Source organism: Homo sapiens, chromosome 2 (genome assembly GCF_000001405.40).
Source record: "Homo sapiens chromosome 2, GRCh38.p14 Primary Assembly".
Lineage (NCBI taxonomy): Eukaryota > Metazoa > Chordata > Mammalia > Primates > Hominidae > Homo > Homo sapiens.
This window is the reverse complement of record NC_000002.12, coordinates 80,288,333-80,307,857: the sequence shown is the minus strand read 5'-3', so window position 1 is coordinate 80,307,857 and position 19,525 is coordinate 80,288,333. Positions and strand designations below refer to the sequence as shown.

Genomic DNA, 19,525 nt, shown 5'->3' with positions numbered 1-19,525 from the left:
ACTGGAGGTCTGGCCTCAGTGCCCAATCACATGTTGGCATGATGGCTTGGGATGGTATTCTTGATGCCCAACTATTAGTACTAGACTTGCAGCTATAGCGGTTCAGCTAGATGAGCTCAGGTTCCTTCCCCTGACAAACATGGAAAATGTCAAGGGTATTTTCAAAGCATATAAAGCATCTCTTATCCAATATACAACATTTGAAGAAGAAGTTTGCCAACAGAAATCTATGGTCACCCGGGAAGAAGAGATTGATCCAGTACATGCAATAGCTACATTGTAACCTGGTGAATCAGATATTTTCAAAAGACAGGTACAGACATATGAGAGAATAAGCAGGAGGAAAGAAAAAAAACTTCAGGTGAGCTTTTTTTTTCTTTTTTTCCTTTTTTAGTTCATTGGACACTTACAGGCATGAAATTAAAACTCATGAAAAACAGCCATATCGACTTGCTGTGGTGACTCAAAAGTTGTCGTTTCTCGATTCAACTTTGCTGAAACACTCGATTCATGTTGTTCTTATTTAACCTAATTTGCATTGATTTAATCAGTGCTGGTATGCTTTAAATACATAATAAATTGGGATTCTGCAACTTAGATGACTTAGAATAGCTAAATTTCAATAAAGCTCATTTCAATCTGTTAATGTATACGGTTCTGCCAAGGGGTTTAAAACTGTAGAAAAGATGCAAACTTGCCACATTAGAGGTGGGAAAGGCTTAAAGATACCATATAGATGAAATGATTTGCAGGATAATAATGCAAAAAGCAATATATAGAAAATATATATTTATATATAATATATATATATAATTTATTTATTTTAATTACAGCCTAGGAGCATCTTGTAAGTTTTGAGTAGCACACTTAGAAGAAAACTCACATATAAATCAGTGAATTTAATTTTATTCCCTTTCTTTCTTGCCAACACTCAACTCTTCTGCCTCTCTGCACCAGCTCTACAAATCAAGTGACATCCAAAGTGGGACCTCTTCTTGCCCATTTGGCAGCCTCTGTCACCACTTTGCCAAGCAGCCAGCATTAGGAGGATTTTTTTTTTTCCTAGCAACCCTAGGGATTGGGTGGTGTGTACTCACAGTACTCGCTGAATGGCTGGCCGCTGTTTAACCCTGCGGGTGCCTCCTCAACACCCCTCCCCCACCTCCCAACCCTTTAGAGTTTATGGCTCCATCAGCTGGCCTGCTGTCACGAATAATTGTCTTGGCAAGAGGTGAAACCACTTGATGGTGAATTTGTTTGTCTGTCTGTTAAAGTGTTCCGCAGCACCTTGGAGGTGCCAGGATGAAACATGCAAATGCCTGATCCAGAGTTAGGTAGGCAGCAAGAGTGACAGAGAGGCAATCATCAAGAATGGCAAATTAAGAAAGAAAGAAAGAGAGAGAGAGAAAGAAAGAAAGAAAGAAAGAAAGAAAGAAAGAAAGAAAGAAAGAAAGAAAAGAAAAGAAAAGAAAAGAAAAGAAAGAAAGAAAGAAAAAACCATCTGTGCCAGTTGCAAGCTGTATGACCTTGGATAAACCATGATGTCTCTTGGCCTCAGTTTAGTCACGTGCAAAATTAAGGGGGTTGATTTTCTAATGTCTCTTCTAACTCCTAAGACAGCATGTGATGTCTAGGACATTTCAGATTTGTGTTCCTTCCAATTAAATGATACATCTCAGAGATGAATGACCAGGGCAGAGCTCAGATGAATACAAAATGGAATGATTCATGCCCCTGTTCATATGACTTTTCCTGAAAAGTACCACCAGTCTTTGGTGACTTTGATTCCATTGGTTGGCCTCTTCAGCTTAGATGCTAAGGACCAATCCAGTTACTTGTCCAGTCTATCTACCCTGGCTCTGGTAATCCACCCTCATTCCTATCAAAGTAAGTGCCACTACATATAATGCCTACTGATTTTGACTTCCTTAGAGGCAGAAACGATGGGAATTCAAACAGTGGAGCTGGAGACTCACATTTGACTCTCCCTACCATCTCCCTGGGCATCTTTGTCAAGAAGGAAGGCTTGCCCACACTCACTTCCCGCAGGCTTTCTCAGCCATCTTGGAGGACTTTGTTTAAACAGATGACCAACTGACCCTCCCCAGGGCAGACCCTCTACAGACCAGTAGGCACAAGGTGTGTGTGTGGGGAGGTGGGGGGAGAGCTCATTGTAAGGACTCCTATCTATAAATGATTATGAATAGAAATAATGAGGCAAAGGCTTCTCGTCATACTCAGAGGAAAAAGTGGCACAACTTAGTGCAGTCTCAAAGATTAATTAGGATGTGTGTATGGAGACGGGTAGGCTTCATTATGGCTTAAACTATCACGTCCCTACACATTCACACTCTCTTGGAGTGGGGTGCACTGCAGGGCCCAGTAATCACCATGAACAGCACAAGTCAGGGTAAGCCCTCCCCATGTCAGACAGTACAATCGTTCTTTAATCCACTCTGTACCCCATATGTATCTGTGGAGCCTGATGAAGCCCCGGAGGGATCTCAGTCAAGTCTCCCTGCACACAGACATACCTTTTTGCCACACTGGATCTCACACCACCGGGACTTGGATGGCTTCCCAAACTAGGTGGGTTTGGAAAGCATTTCCCCTCTCCACCTCAAAAAAGGGCTGGCTGACTGCAGAATTCCAGTACCCGCAAGAGGGGGAAAAAACCCCAAAAATCTTAGCCAAGCCCCAAATCATTGCCTTCCTGTGTCTTCTCTCAAGTTGCTTTTCTAAAGCAAAGGTCCAAACGTTGATTTCTCTACAGATTCCTACGTATCTCTTACACGTAGACAGTTTTAAAGGGGAAAAGAATATATCCCCAAAAGGCAAGGGGGAGAGCACAGAACATTTCAGTTTCCCACTTGGAAATATCTTGTCGTGGATGATGCTACCCCTACCTCCACCTCCCTCCCCCCTCCTTTTTTTTTTTTTTTTTTTTTTTGAAATATGGACAAAAAAGCTGAAAGTGTTTTCCGTTTCATCAAAAAACATATATTACTTTAGTGGTTCGGTAAAATGTTGGTTTTATGCCCACCCCTTTTCAATCTGCCCATGTCTGAGGTGCTCGGGGAAGACGCACAATCGTGAGCAGCTTACGACACTCAGTGAGCAGTAGGTGCCTGTGCAAGCTCGCGCCGCACACTGCCTGGTGGAGGGAAGGAGCCCGGGCGCCGCTCGCCGCTCCCCGCGCCGCCGTCCGCACCTCCCCACCGCCCGCCGCCCGCCGCCCGCCGCCCGCAAAGCATGAGTGAGCCCGCTCTCTGCAGCTGCCCGGGGCGCGAATGGCAGGCTGTTTCCGCGGAGTAAAAGGTGGCGCCGGTCAGTGGTCGTTTCCAATGACGGACATTAACCAGACTGTCAGATCCTGGGGAGTCGCGAGCCCCGAGTTTGGAGTTTTTTCCCCCCACAACGTCACAGTCCGAACTGCAGAGGGAAAGGAAGGCGGCAGGAAGGCGAAGCTCGGGCTCCGGCACGTAGTTGGGAAACTTGCGGGTCCTAGAAGTCGCCTCCCCGCCTTGCCGGCCGCCCTTGCAGCCCCGAGCCGAGCAGCAAAGTGAGACATTGTGCGCCTGCCAGATCCGCCGGCCGCGGACCGGGGCTGCCTCGGAAACACAGAGGGGTCTTCTCTCGCCCTGCATATAATTAGCCTGCACACAAAGGGAGCAGCTGAATGGAGGTTGTCACTCTCTGGAAAAGGGTGGGTAAGACACTTTTTAATTAAATTCTTTCCCGAAGATTTTTTTTTTCCTCCCTTTTCTTTGCTGCAGCATCTAACATGGACCAAATCACCATCTCTTTGATCTTTCCGTGGCTGTGAACTTTCTATGCTGCCCAGCTTTCTGCATGCTTAGAGGTGAACGTGTGGTTTTTGGGGAGGGGGGTCCTTCTTTATTTCTATGTATTTATTTGATTTTTTGCCCTTTTCTCCCCCTCCCCCGCTTCCCCTCCCTCGGAATAAAATATGATGTAGATTTCTGACCGAGCGCTTCCAATGGACATTCTCCAGTCTCTCTGGAAAGATTCTCGCTAATGGATTTCCTGCTGCTCGGTCTCTGTCTATACTGGCTGCTGAGGAGGCCCTCGGGGGTGGTCTTGTGTCTGCTGGGGGCCTGCTTTCAGATGCTGCCCGCCGCCCCCAGCGGGTGCCCGCAGCTGTGCCGGTGCGAGGGGCGGCTGCTGTACTGCGAGGCGCTCAACCTCACCGAGGCGCCCCACAACCTGTCCGGCCTGCTGGGCTTGTCCCTGCGCTACAACAGCCTCTCGGAGCTGCGCGCCGGCCAGTTCACGGGGTTAATGCAGCTCACGTGGCTCTATCTGGATCACAATCACATCTGCTCCGTGCAGGGGGACGCCTTTCAGAAACTGCGCCGAGTTAAGGAACTCACGCTGAGTTCCAACCAGATCACCCAACTGCCCAACACCACCTTCCGGCCCATGCCCAACCTGCGCAGCGTGGACCTCTCGTACAACAAGCTGCAGGCGCTCGCGCCCGACCTCTTCCACGGGCTGCGGAAGCTCACCACGCTGCATATGCGGGCCAACGCCATCCAGTTTGTGCCCGTGCGCATCTTCCAGGACTGCCGCAGCCTCAAGTTTCTCGACATCGGATACAATCAGCTCAAGAGTCTGGCGCGCAACTCTTTCGCCGGCTTGTTTAAGCTCACCGAGCTGCACCTCGAGCACAACGACTTGGTCAAGGTGAACTTCGCCCACTTCCCGCGCCTCATCTCCCTGCACTCGCTCTGCCTGCGGAGGAACAAGGTGGCCATTGTGGTCAGCTCGCTGGACTGGGTTTGGAACCTGGAGAAAATGGACTTGTCGGGCAACGAGATCGAGTACATGGAGCCCCATGTGTTCGAGACCGTGCCGCACCTGCAGTCCCTGCAGCTGGACTCCAACCGCCTCACCTACATCGAGCCCCGGATCCTCAACTCTTGGAAGTCCCTGACAAGCATCACCCTGGCCGGGAACCTGTGGGATTGCGGGCGCAACGTGTGTGCCCTAGCCTCGTGGCTCAACAACTTCCAGGGGCGCTACGATGGCAACTTGCAGTGCGCCAGCCCGGAGTACGCACAGGGCGAGGACGTCCTGGACGCCGTGTACGCCTTCCACCTGTGCGAGGATGGGGCCGAGCCCACCAGCGGCCACCTGCTCTCGGCCGTCACCAACCGCAGTGATCTGGGGCCCCCTGCCAGCTCGGCCACCACGCTCGCGGACGGCGGGGAGGGGCAGCACGACGGCACATTCGAGCCTGCCACCGTGGCTCTTCCAGGCGGCGAGCACGCCGAGAACGCCGTGCAGATCCACAAGGTGGTCACGGGCACCATGGCCCTCATCTTCTCCTTCCTCATCGTGGTCCTGGTGCTCTACGTGTCCTGGAAGTGTTTCCCAGCCAGCCTCAGGCAGCTCAGACAGTGCTTTGTCACGCAGCGCAGGAAGCAAAAGCAGAAACAGACCATGCATCAGATGGCTGCCATGTCTGCCCAGGAATACTACGTTGATTACAAACCGAACCACATTGAGGGAGCCCTGGTGATCATCAACGAGTATGGCTCGTGTACCTGCCACCAGCAGCCCGCGAGGGAATGCGAGGTGTGATTGTCCCAGTGGCTCTCAACCCATGCGCTACCAAATACGCCTGGGCAGCCGGGACGGGCCGGCGGGCACCAGGCTGGGGTCTCCTTGTCTGTGCTCTGATATGCTCCTTGACTGAAACTTTAAGGGGATCTCTCCCAGAGACTTGACATTTTAGCTTTATTGTGTCTTAAAAACAAAAGCGAATTAAAACACAACAAAAAACCCCACCCCACAACCTTCAGGACAGTCTATCTTAAATTTCATATGAGAACTCCTTCCTCCCTTTGAAGATCTGTCCATATTCAGGAATCTGAGAGTGTAAAAAAGGTACCAATCATTGATTTTTTTTTTTTTTGTAAACTAAAATGTTTAAAATAAAATAGCATTTACAGTTTTTACAGACTGGTGTAACCTAAATGAATTGTTACCTGTGTTACAAGAAAAGCAACAGTTAAAATTTCCTTGGTGGGTGGGGAGGGAGTTGTCCAGGGGCCAGAAGGAAAATCCAGGAGCAACGTAGTCAGATTCAATTTGAAATTTTAAAGAAGGGCAAAGAAAGCTTATCAGATTAATGATTTATGTTAATTTACTCCACATGTGTAAGGACTAGAAAAAGAAAAACTGCAAGACCCTTTATATTACTGGGGCAGGGACAGTGCAATCTAACCACCTTCAGGCAACTGAGAGGTGGACTGAGGACTGGGCACCCTTACTCAGCCTTTAAAGCAGAGAGCATTGCAAATGGTTTTTAAAAAGCAATGCCAGACAGTTTCTCCTAGGAACACGAAACATTTTTGCACTTAATGTAACCATCTTTCAAATCACCTCAAAATCTCATCCCCAAATGCCACCTGTTCTTAATTCTCCTGAGTCTTTGATTCACCAGACTTAGTAGCATTTGTGCCCTTCTTGTACCCCCTGTTAAAGGGAGCCCCTCAGCTCACTGCTCTCTTTGGTCTGGCTGAGGGGAAGGAGGCAGAATCCCGATGTTTAGGGCTGAAAGCTGTGCTTCTGGAGCACATTGCTAAGACTGCAGCAAGCTTAGGCTCCCAAACAGTGACAGCACATTCCTAGTTTCTATGGGGAATGAGGAGAAAAACCTACCTTAGGATGAATGCCTGCAGGGTAATGACTTGTAGCAAGAGACTTTAGGGGCAGAGGTGACAGAGCAGTGATGGGGTGGGGAGAGTGGGAGAAGATACTCATTTGATCCTGTGTTTGCATATTTCTGAGATGGGAATAATTTGTTAACCCAGGACAGAAAAGCTGCCTCTTCTCAGATGGCCCTTTTGTGTAATGCTTGCTTTCCCTTTTTTTTTTTTCTGTGTTGAGAGTGATGATTGCTCCTTCTCACCCCTCATAGGTTTCCAGGTCCATCATTGAGATTTCAGTTTCTATTGAACTAAAGAGTGAGGAGGTGGTGGTAGTGGCAGTTGGTGGGTGCAGAGAAGGGAAGGGGAAGGCTGTGTGCATTGGACGGAGGGCTCCTTCATCAGATGACAATTTAAGCAAATGTATGATTGAAATAAACTGTCATGGATGACAGATGCTGAACCAATGTAGCCCATGTCCCTAAGTCTTTCTCTTCCCTCTCTAACGGACACTAAAGAGTTGCATCTTTCTGTTTTTATTTTTCCTTTTTTTTGAGAGAGAGAAGTCCAAATAGCAGGAAGAGGGAATGGGGGGATGGGGAACCACACACTACCATCCCCCAACATGCAAATGTCTCCAGCTACCAATCTTAGGAGGCAAAATCAGCTTTTTGAAATGCAGAATGGTATCACCAGAAGGTTTCCTTAAGCTAAGGGTTGGTGGTAGGTTTCTCTTTTACCTATGGAGAAACCAGTATGCCTAAAAATAGTATTTCTAAGAGTCTCTTTCAAGAGAAATATTTTGCAAATGTCTTTTAAGATGTTAAGCCCTGGGAGACAGCTTCTTACACACACACACACACACACACACACACACACACACACACACACACACACACCCCAACACCCCAGCTCATTTTTCCTGGCCAGGAAACTTCATCTTGCTTTATTTATAATTAAAACATGACATTATGACACACATCATGCACATGACACCCATTCAGACTATTAGTGTTCTAGAAGAGAGGTGCTTTGTTTGATAACTTTGAGGAGGGGGTTTTGAATTTAAGCATAATCATTTGGGTTTGCCTTTCTAAATAGCATACCACTCCAAGAGCAGGGGTAGCAGGAAAAAGATTCTCTCAGGGATGTGCCTTACCTAAAACCCTACTAAAGCGACCTCCTCTAGAAGACGGCATACCTTTTTTAGAAAACAAAAAATGTAGCAACTGAAGGAGGGCTCCTTGGATTCCGTGAACTTAACCATCTCATAGGAAGGCTACAGGAATCCAGCGCCCAAAGCTGCTTTGGCTTGGTGCATTAAAGAGCTGTGTGGGTGTGCTTACAGGGAAAGCTTTCAGAAGCAAAACCTTTCTGGCAAGCATCAGAACCACAAGTCCCCTCCTACCCTCTAGAAATCTGAATATTGGAAACTGTAGTTTATCTCCTATCCCCAAGACATTTTTATCTTTCACTCTTCTTGTTTCAAGGTGGCCATAAGACAGAGAGAGAATAATCGTGCTTTGTTTTATGCTACTCCTCCCACCCTGCCCATGATTAAACATCATGTATGTAGAAGATCTTAAGTCCATACGCATTTCATGAAGAACCATTGGAAAGAGGAATCTGCAATCTGGGAGCTTAAGAGCAAATGATGACCATAGAAAGCTATGTTCTTACTTTGTGTGTGTGTCTGTATGTTTCTGCGTTGTGTGTCTTTGTAGGCAAGCAAACGTTGTCTACACAAACGGGAATTTAGCTCACATCATTTCATGCCCCTGTGCCTCTAGCTCTGGAGATTGGTGGGGGGAGGTGGGGGGAAACGGCAGGAATAAGGGAAAGTGGTAGTTTTAACTAAGGTTTTGTAACACTTGAAATCTTTTCTTTCTCAAATTAATTAATCTTTAAGCTTCAAGAAACTTGCTCTGACCCCTCTAAGCAAACTACTAAGCATTTAAAAGAGAATCTAATTTTTAAAGGTGTAGCACCTTTTTTTTATTCTTCCCACAGAGGGTGCTAATCTCATTATGCTGTGCTATCTGAAAAGAACTTAAGGCCACAATTCACGTCTCGTCCTGGGCATTGTGATGGATTGACCCTCCATTTGCAGTACCTTCCCAGCTGATTAAAGTTCAGCAGTGGTATTGAGGTTTTTCGAATATTTATATAGAAAAAAAGTCTTTTCACATGACAAATGACACTCTCACACCAGTCTTAGCCCTAGTAGTTTTTTAGGTTGGACCAGAGGAAGCAGGTTAAATGAGACCTGTCCTCTGCTGCACTCAGAAAAAATAGGCAGTCCCTGATGCTCAGATCTTAGCCTTGATATTAATAGTTGAGACCACCTACCCACAATGCAGCCTATACTCCCAAGACTACAAAGTTACCATCGCAAAGGAAAGGTTATTCCAGTAAAAGGAAATAGTTTTCTCAACCATTTAAAAATATTCTTCTGAACTCATCAAAGTAGAAGAGCCCCCAACCTTTTCTCTCTGCCTTCAAGAAGGCAGACATTTGGTATGATTTAGCATCAACAACACATTTATGAGTATATGTAAGTAATCAGAGGGGCAAATGCCACTTGTTATTCCTCCCAAGTTTTCCAAGCAAGTACACACAGATCTCTGGTAGGATTAGGGGCCACTTGTGTTTCCGGCTTATTTTAGTCGACTTGTCAGCAAGTTTGATGCCTAGTCTATCTGACATGGCCCAGTAGAACAGGGCATTGATGGATCACATGAGATGGTAGAAGGAACATCATCACATACCCCTCTCACAGAGAAAATTATCAAAGAACCAGAAATTATATCTGTTTTGGAGCAAGAGTGTCATAATGTTTCAGGGTAGTCAAAATAAACATAAATTATCTCCTCTAGATGAGTGGCGATGTTGGCTGATTTGGGTCTGCCATTGACAGAATGTCAAATAAAAAGGAATTAGCTAGAATATGACCATTAAATGTGCTTCTGAAATATATTTTGAGATAGGTTTAGAATGTCAAAAAAAAGGAATTAGCTAGAATATGACCATTAAATGTGCTTCTGAAATATACACACACACTCCTACCTCTCAATCTATCTCTGTATATATAACAGCACACACACAAATATGCACACATGTGTGTGTGTGTATATATATATATAATATATAATATATAAAACCACATAGTACCACACACACACACATATATAACCACACACACACACCCATACACGCGCAGGCAGGTGACCATTATGTAACTACCTTCTAGCACTAATCATCCTAATACTTTCTTCTTCATAATCAAACTTTTATTCAGGAAAGGATCTGATAAAATCAGTGACAGTTAAGATATAAATGACTGATATGGCTGATGGTATTTTCAGGCATTAGTTAATGAGTAGGTAGACGCTTTGCAGGCTGGGGAACTTCTGGGCTCCTTATGCCACAGCAGAGTGTAACCTGCTGTCTAGTGGGAAGAGCCAGCAAATGGGAATATATTTTTTGAGAGTATTTTCCACCTCAGTATTTTTCCATTAAAGTATGCTCTACTCTGATTTTTTTGTTTTTCTGGGATTCAGGAGGCAAAATTCTTACTTCTGATTGGGCACCATCTCCTGGCCTTGCTCAACTGGACACAATTTCTGAAGACTTTTGCTTTTTTTACTCAAAGTGAAGGGCCTGGCAATTGCATTCTTACAATTTAGACAAAGATATAAATGAGATGGAGAAATACAATTTACTGAGCAGTCGCTGGTATGGTGCCTTTATCTAGATCACAATAAGTGAGGGAGGTGCTAGCAACCTTATCTTCACATGAAGAACCTGAGGCTTACAGAAGTCAGGTACATTGTGCAAAGTCACCCAGCTAGTGATTGGAAGCACTGGGATGTGCTAATTGACTTGGTGGCCTTTTCACTACACACTGTTTCTTTATTCCTTGAATGGTTGCCCCTCCACTCCTACACCTAACAAAGAGCCTAGAACTAGACTGGGAACAGGATACATGCTCAACACATTCTTGTTGAATGCCATGGGCACAGTGGTGAAATCCAGGAATTCTGACCATGACTTGTTTGCTCTGGTCACTGGTAATTGGGCAATGCAGGACTCTGCCAATAGAGGAGACTTCTCCGGGGTTCCAGGAGAAGAAATGGCCAGTACATTCAGTCCGACCCCTTAAAATAGGATTTTAGACTCAGAGAGAGTAAAGTAGAGACATCCATATGTTATTGTCAGGGATTTATCTGCATTTCTTCCTTAGTGATTAAATGGATCATGTGTCTATGGTACTGGTTCTCAACCAGGGGCAAATTTGCCACCCAGTAGACATTTACTTGTTTGTGTCTGGAGACAGTTAAAATTTTTATGCATGGGTGAGATGGTGCTACTGGTATCCAGTAGGTAGATGTCTGGATACTGTGAAACATCCTACAAGCAAAGGACATCCCCCACATCAAATAATTATTTGACCTAAAATGTCAAGAGTGCTGAAGTTGAAAAACCCTGCTCCACGACAGAAAGTAATGGTGCTATCTAAAGCATCATGCTGTGCTTCAGCTTTACAAGGAATGGTCTTACTTCTGAGTTAGTTTTAGATTTACCTAGACTTATTCCTTTTAAGTCTTTCTCTTGCCAGGTAACTGGAAATCTAAATTAAAAGCCCTTAGGTTCACTGATAATCAGCAAAAGTTAACACATAGTTAACACATGCTTCTCAAAGAACATATGGCAAAACTTAAATTAACTAGGACAAAACTAGTCAGAACCCTCAATTGACCCACTTTTTCTTTAGCAATACCTCATTTAGGAAACAGGAAAAAAAAATCAAGTTAACAGTGGAGATTTAATTAACAAGAAGGAAAATGAGAAACTTGATATTCCTTCCAGGAGGGGTTCTGCAGTCTGAACAAATCCAACCCACCAGCCTGTGCCTTCTTCTTCCCCAACCAAAACTGTAATGTATGTGAGGTGGTGATGAACCTCTATTTTAAAAATCAGTGTGCTAAAAAAATAAATGCTTGAGGTGATAGATACCTCATTTTCCATGATGCAATTGTTACACATTGCATGCCTCTATCAAAATATCTCATGTACCCCATAAATTTATGCATCTACTATGTACCCGCAATAATCGTAAAAAACTAAAAAAAAATAAGCTAGAAAAAAATCAATGTGCTCAGTCTGGTGAGTAGGGTGCACATATTTAGGGAAATGATCTCAGTCCTTAGAAACAGGATAGTCTAGAGATACAAGAACTGCAAACTGAAATTCATCTGGGGACAGACAGGCAACACAGATGAGTGAGGTTCATGGGCAGATGAAATTATAAGGAACTAGAGAATTCACTTAAAAGAATATAATTCACATTTGGTTCTGGTTAATCATAACATTTCTGCAGGGCAGGTCAAGTAAGCGCTCTGGAAGAAATAGGGTCTAGAAGTCAGGAGTTATCATCTTTAGACATAGTACTGTCATTTACATGCCTGGGATCATCTGTTAATCATCTTACTGCAATTGGTCTCTGTGTCTACTTTTAGAAGGATTCTTCTAGGTATTCCCTAAGAACCTTTCCAGTTTGGGGCTTCTATTTTACCATTTTTTCCCCACAATAAAACTTGAAACAAAAGTGGTTTTCAAGAGAGTGTCACTTAACCAGAAAATTAAAATTCCCCTGAATTCCTATTCCTCCAGACATTCTGATTCATCAGGCTTGCCTGAATATTAATGAGCAGATATAGGTTAAAAAAAAATTCACTGAGAGTCAGGGGCTTCAGAGAGGTAGGTGGACATGCTGGAAAACAGAGGAGAAGATGAGAAAGCTCAGGCATGTATGGGTGGGAGAATTGGGTTTTTAGAATGTGCAGAAGAGATGAAAGGGAATCCTAGAGAGGACACACACACTCACCCGCACATGAGACCTGAGACACAGGGATGTGGTGTGAGGTAGCCCCCTACCCACAAAAAAAAAAAAAATTTGTTCAGGACTCTCAAAATGACATACTACATTGTAAGTGGCCACAATGGATATTAGGAATTGAGAGACCTTTCTAGTAAAATGGGGTATGGGATGGGAGGGAAAGAGAGAGAAAGAGAGATTGAGAAGAAAAAAAGGCAAGGTGGGAGAAGGAGATGAGAGGAGAAGAGAGAACAAAACAAAACAGAAAGAAAAAAGAAAAAGAGAGGAAGAGGAGAGAGTTTCAAGATCTGTGTTTTATGCTACTCAAGTTAACATAAGTAGCTGTGATTACACTGACTCCTCAATCCTTTTCAATCATTTCTTTATTCTGGTCCACCAGGTTAGCTATTTGTCTGTTCTCAATGTAATGTTGTAAAGTTATTTTCCCTCGTGTTATGAGAAGAAGGAATTCGTTCTCTAGCTGCATCTTATTTCTCTATTGCTCAGCTAGCAGAGTGCTTGTCAACCCTGGCTGCACACTGGAACCACTTGGGAGCCTCAATAAATACTGACTCCTGGACCCCACCCTCAACAGATTGTGAGTTAACTGGTCTGGGGTGTGGCCTTGGTGAGGAGAATTATTTTTATTATTATTATTATTTTTTTTAAGCTTCCCAGGTGATTCCATAGTTCAGCTAAGGCTGAGAAGCACTGAGCTAGCGGGTTGCCTACTCACAGCATGGACAACTCAGCAATCTACAAGATCCAAAAGTCTGACTGCAGCTCTTTAAAAAGACATGGTTGGCTGGTGCCTGGGCTCCATGGGGTCAGGGCTCCATGGGGTCAGGGCTCCATGGGGTCAGGTTACGTGGGCTACATGGCAGGGAGAAGGGAGTCACCTTCCCACCTCCTGCCATTGACTCCATCTGGTGGCACTGATAGAAGAAAGACGTGCAAGCATCGGTGTACTTAGAATTAGTCTCTGAGCACTCTAGTTTACAAAGCGCTGTTTAGAATTATTCTTATATTTGTTTTTACTCTCCCAATAATTTCACAAGGCAGACATAAACTTGTCCCATTTTTAAGGCAAGAAGACTCAAATCTGAAAAGGTTCAGTAGCTTGCCCAAGGTCATTGTTACTGCTGGGCTGGCACTGAGAAATGTCTCTTCTAAATTCTGAGTCCTTCTCCCGCTACCACCTTCCTTTCCTTCTCTGATTGGTTGTGTCATTATGAGGTAAAGCTAGTCCTGCTCAAAATATACAAATCAATAACTTCTTTAGGAGGATTCCTGGAAAACCCATTGCACACAGGCTCCTACACCTCCTCCCACTGAAGTCCTGCAGTTACAAAGTTTGACATCATAGTTTCACCACTGCCCCTCTGTGTCTCCACCCCAATCCCAAGCCTGACACTCTTTTCTTTGCCAAAGGAGACTCCACGACACCCAAGAGACAACCAAATAGGCATCAATTCTTTCCAAATACCCCTAACACCAAAATATTCCCTTTCCACTCAGTCCACTGCATCCGCAGATTTGCCACCAGCTCTTCCAAGAATGTAAACATAAATCCTAGTAGGACACTGATCGGTGGAGTGGTGATAATTCTACTCCGGGGATTTTTGCAACTTAAACAAGGATCTTTGGGGGAAATAACCAAAGGAAATCACTCTAATGCTGGAATTTCAGGCACTTAAACAGACGGGTAGCATACATTTGGCCAGGACATCCCACCTTGTTCCCCTTAAATGAAACAACACAAGTGAATGCTCTCTTACAAGAGCAGATTAGTCAACAGTTTATGGGGCTTAAAGTAAAGCCAGGATAAAGATTGGATCTTCTGTCATATTTTACCTCCTTAAACCAAAGTCCTCTTTAAAAATCACATATTTTTAGGTGTTCACCATCAGCATATTTATCCTCAGTGAAGAACTCTCAATATTGCAAACTATGTGTAGCAGGGCTCTCTATCTTAGAGATATTGTAGGCAGCCTTCAGTATAAGTGAGATGGCTCAGCAGCACACAGAGCTGGATTAGTCTGCCACAGAAAGGTCTGGAAAAGCCAAGTTACACACAATTAATGGAACAATGCAACAATCTGTCTTCAGCTGGCCAAGGCAATTCTGTCATTTGTCCCTCAGCTGCAGAACAACCACTCACTCTGTTATTTTGCCTCACTGTCTCTGCTCCATAGTGATTGCATTTATGGTGAAATCTATATTTCCCTGAAACTGAGACTGTGTTTCTTTTATTTTATTAAATTTTTATTTTAAAAATAATGGGACTTTTCAGAATGCAGCAGCACTGCTTTGCTGTCCAGGCCATTTTTTGTCTGAGTGTTTCATACTGATCTTTTTTGCATATTATTTCAAAAATCATAAAGGTACAAAAAAAAGAGCAAACATGCTGTAGGAAAGAAAAGGAGAAACCACATTATAACTGAAATGCCACTAAACATAACATATCACTCAGATGCTTTTAACTTCCGATTATATTGCTCAACTCATTCAATCAAAGTAGCACAACATTTCTTGTTCAGAGCTTAAGTCAACATTTGTGGAGTGAACAATAGAACCATTTAACTTATAAATGATTGCACCTGCGAAGGTGAGGCATTCTCAAGAGGACTATGCTGGCATAGGCCTATCAGACTCACCATGAGAGTATGCAGAAGAGGCCTCCACTTCTTCTTGATCCATTTATGAAACATGACCTCCACCTATAGGAGTGTTAATCATATATTTTACTTGCTAGGTGCCTGGCAACCTGCAAAATCCTTAAGATTTTCTCATTTAAGCCCTGCAAAAAGCCTTCATCCCTCCTCGTTCAGAGTAGTATTAGCATCCTCCCTTTACAAACAGGTAAACTGAGGTTGGGGTGGGTCAACAACTTGCCCAAGGTCACTTACCATGGTAGGATGTGTCAAGGGAGACACATTCCTTGGGTTCAAATTCTGGCTGAGTGACTTTGGCAAGGCAATTAACCTTTCTGATCCTCAGTTCCTTCATCTATAAAATGGACATAGGGTTGTTATAAGAATTAAGCCCATTGTTACTGAGAATGAAAGAGTTATTCCTTATAAAGTGCTTAGAATGGTGTCTGGCATGTGGCAAGTACTAGATAAGTGTTTTCTAAATAAAAGATGAACAAAACAAGGTCACATAGCCAGGAAGGGGTTGAATCAGGGTGTAACCAGGATTGTCATCCTGCAAAGCTAGGCTGTCACCATTTTCTTCTGTGATAGGATGAGACTCAAAAACCTGAATTCCTGAAAGCACTGGGCCTAAAAGAGGGATATGGAGGCAGTGAAGTCTGGAGTTGCAAAGACTACACATGGCTTCCTTCCCAGCTTTCTAACTGGCCAGGCCTTAGCCCATACACCACTCACTGACTTTGTTCTGGTTCTTTAGTGGCTTGCCTTTACCACTGTGGTCTGGCAGCCCTGGTGAACCTGATCCTGGAATACACGTGGCCATGTGCACACACATCTTCCAGTTTTCATAGGAGCTGAAGGCTAGCAGCCAGCTACAAGGGCCTTCTGGTGATGTGGAAAAACTGTTTCCACATCTGAGCTGTTTGCTATCTATAGTCAATTCCTGGAGGTGAAAAACTGCTACCCAGCTTGCAATTGTTATCCAAGCCCCAAACTCTTATTTAATATTGGCAATATTAAATCATACTGGCCCCTGGGACACTAAGCATACATCTTCAGCTGAAGCAGATTTGCTGGTGTTTATTTAAAGAAGCTTTTTCTTTGTGTAATCACAGCCATAGTTGGATGCTGCTCAAGGAAATTTAACAAATGATGAAGTACACATCTGAGGTTGACCCTTTCTTCTGGCAGAGGAGGTCCTGTATCAAGAGACAAACTCCATGTCCCAGCTTTGACACTAATTTGCTCCTGGCCCTTGAGCAAGTTGGTTCCACCTGTCCAGACCTTTCTTTCTTAGGTCTGTAGTGGTGAATTCTGGCTTTCCTTCTAGTTCTCCAATTTGTTAGGCAGGGTATGAAGTTAAGGAGGAGAAAATAAAAGTAAGAGTAACTTTCTATGCATTCTCCTTTGCTATCGCTTATCAACAGGCAAAGCGATGAACTTCCCCCAAGGGAAAGACTCCAACGTCTTTAGAGATCTACTAAATCCCACGAGGAAAAACTATCTTTGGTCAGAGGGAACATTCTCGTTTGCAACTAGGGAATTGAGATTCCAAAAGTTGAGTGTGTTTCAAGCCACACCTTGTTCTTTGGGATTCACTCACAGAATGATTAAAGCATGCTCTGTCCCAGCTTTGGACAGAAATATTGGCAATGCTTTGGCCATAGTGAAACCTCAATACTTGAATCTATACTAGCAGGGAATGCTAGAGCTGTTGGGAAATTGAGGACATCGTCAGTTTAGTGTTTTACGTCATTGCTGGCTTGTTTTATTGTTTGTTTGTTTTCTACTCTCCCTTCATTTTTTCTTTCCCTCCCTCCATCCTTCCTTCCTTCTTTTCTTTTTACCGAATTCATAGTTATGAGCTACACCAGGCATTCACAACAAGAGCAAAATGGCACTGAGGGAGCAAACATTGTTTCTTATGTGGGTGAAATAAATTGTACTAATTTTTGGGGTAAACCACAGATATACATATAGTACATAAAAAGATATACAACATATCTGTGGTATTAAGATTTCAGGGAGGGGGAGTAATTAGGAAAAAAAATGTCTAAATAGTATTTTCAAGGGGGCAGTGGGAGAATGAAAAAAAATGGCTGGGAAACACTGAGCTAGATAATGATTACCATGTGGGAGAAAAAAACAGCAAAAAGTAAAAGCATCACGGGAGCCTCACCAACCTCACCATGGTGAGGTTTCATGACGCTTTTACTTTCTGCTGTTTTTTTTCTTACCCACGGTAATCACTGGGGAAGAAATGAGAAGGTCAAGGAAGTTTGGGTACTTCAGTATTCAAAACCAGGACTGAGACTATTTGGACAGGTTCATGTGAAGGACTTTGTCTTATCAGCTCCTTCTGCATTCAACACATCCCAGAGTTGTCTTTATTTGGAGGCCTCATGATGTACTAAAAAACTATCTGGCATGGAATTAATTAGACAGAGCTTCTGCCATTTGCTGGCTTAGATAAATCAGCACTTTTCTGTACCTCAATTCCCTTGTCTATAAAATTCAGAAAACAATCCTTGCTCAGCCTGCTTCACAAGGATCTGGTAAGGATCAAATGAGATCATGTGAGTGACAGAACTTCAAAAACTGTGAGGTCCTATGCAAAGATTTAAGGCAGTGGGAGGAGAGTGATGAGAACCCAAGCTCTGTGGTTGGCCCCTCACACACAGTGACTTTTGAGGCCCATATCCTTCAAACTCTCCTCCACAGGGATTTAAATTCCTGCTCTTGGTCACTGCTGTGAATTAAGTCCTTCATTACTCCATCATCCGTAGCAGGGAGCAGGGAGGCAAGTACACTTTTGACTTCTTATTAGGAAGAAGTCCCTCCTGTCAGTTGACTTTTTTCCCTACCGTATAACACAGTCTGACCCAAGTGGGCTAAGTGGCCTTAGACAGTCACTAGTGTGACTCTGTGAACCTGGGTGTCCACACCTGTAAAATGGTCATATCAGTGGCTGCCTTGCTGGTTTTTAGGAAGATTATCAGAGAGCATGTGCATTGAGTTGGCCAAATTGCTGGCCAATAGTAGATTCTCAATCAGCATTAGTCCCACTCCTGCCCCATCACCACAGTAGAGTGACATGTTATGTTTATAAAAATAGCCTCAGGGGAAATGTGGATGGCATTAGGAGCAATTGGCTCCTAGAAGCAGAAGCTAAGAAGAGGATTTAAGAGGTTTCTTTAATGAGAACACTAAATCAGTAATATAAAAATTATCTCTAAAGAGGCGAGAACTGGGGTAGAGATTAGTAGGGCAAGTAATATTGCAGAATAATTAGTAAACAGGATGAAGAATAGCACCCTCTCTGTTAGTCAATGGCAACTGGAATGTTAAGAGGGAAGTTACAAAGATCCCTTAGCCACTACAGATGCTTTGACACTTGCCTCAGGTGACTGCCTTTTATTTATTTATTTATTTTAATATTATGGTTCTTCCCAGTTCTGTCAACAGATTCAGTCCCCAGTCCTCCTTCTCTGAGCAGACCTCTCATCCGCAGCATATATCTGCTAGATCTTCTAAGAGCTGAAATGGAGACTTCTGGAAGAAGGTGGGAAAGAAATCCATCTCGGCTTAATTAACCATTTATCGCATCATATTACTCCCATCTTAAAAGTGCACGCGTTGTTTTTCTGAACCCTCACACAAAGGCTACTACTGTGGTCCCATATCTGTCGGCCCATGAGAAACAGTGTTCTTGGACCTCACAGCCAAGCAGCACTGAACTGCAGCAAAATCCAGCAACACATTCAGCAGCGAGCAGCCTGCTGAGCTCCACTGGTTTATCCGGGGCCACCAACCCCAAAGAACTGGGATGAAAGCAGATGTGAGAGAGGAAAAGGATCTGTTTTTGTTTTATTTTCTACCAGGCCCAGCTCTTTGTGGGGGGAATAAAAAAGAAGAAAAATCGAGCTCCAAGCTGGTGCCCTGCCAAGCTTCCTCCCCTCCCTTCCTAGTCCAAGCACTCCACCGTCTGTGCAGACTGCATAACAGCAATTTCTGGAAACAGGCTGAAGAATCTGGGCCAGTCCAGAGGCAGTGGATTCCTGGTTTATGTGTGGTGGGGTTTTTAGGAATTTTATTTTTCACCTTAATTCTTTCAACAACTGCCAGCTGTTTGAAGCACATCTGTAATAAACAGCTTCTGTTTGTAAAATGAGACTGAAGTTATCCTCTCCAGAGAAATTCCTGAATCTTCTCTGTAGTTCAATGCCTTCACTGACAGTTTGGCTCAAAAAGTATGAGTGTGGTAAATATTAAAGAATGTTAATACAAGTGTAATGAAACACCTAGGGATATTTTTT

The 19,525-nt window shown here is 43.9% G+C and overlaps 2 protein-coding genes across 17 annotated transcripts in view, besides 1 other annotated feature; one reads left to right on the top strand and one right to left on the bottom strand.

Moving 5' to 3' along the window:
- The window catches only part of CTNNA2 (catenin alpha 2), a 1,463,404-nt gene that overhangs the window by 340,923 nt on the left and 1,102,956 nt on the right, over positions 1 to 19,525 (bottom strand). For 2 of the 13 annotated variants that reach the window (NM_001320810.2, NM_001282600.2), the window contains exon 1: positions 2,535 to 2,745. The exons of the other annotated variants lie outside the window; for them this stretch is intronic. The gene's annotated coding sequence lies outside the window, so the exon portion shown is untranslated. Of the gene's footprint in view, positions 1 to 2,534; positions 2,746 to 19,525 lie in introns of those variants that run through there. 13 annotated transcript variants of the gene reach the window in all.
- Positions 3,106 to 19,502, top strand: LRRTM1 (leucine rich repeat transmembrane neuronal 1). Of its 4 annotated transcripts, none has more exons than XM_047444146.1 (3): positions 3,106 to 3,706; positions 3,980 to 5,913; positions 18,663 to 19,502. In XM_047444146.1, the coding sequence occupies exon 2, from the start codon at positions 4,039 to 4,041 to the stop codon at positions 5,605 to 5,607; it is 1,569 nt and encodes a 522-aa protein (XP_047300102.1). In that variant the 5' UTR covers positions 3,106 to 3,706; positions 3,980 to 4,038; the 3' UTR covers positions 5,608 to 5,913; positions 18,663 to 19,502. The 4 variants fall into 4 exon arrangements, with proteins under 4 accessions (XP_047300102.1, XP_016859476.1, XP_016859475.1 ...); XM_017003987.3 differs by having other exon boundaries at positions 3,106 to 3,710; XM_017003986.3 differs by having other exon boundaries at positions 3,106 to 3,862.
- Positions 3,664 to 4,289: an enhancer, noted in NCBI's record as "H3K4me1 hESC enhancer chr2:80530694-80531319 (GRCh37/hg19 assembly coordinates)". NCBI's record gives its function as "activates a minimal SCP1, AML or CMV promoter by ChIP-STARR-seq in primed H9 embryonic stem cells {active_cell/tissue: H9 hESC(primed)}" and the evidence as "EXISTENCE:reporter gene assay evidence [ECO:0000049][PMID:30033119]".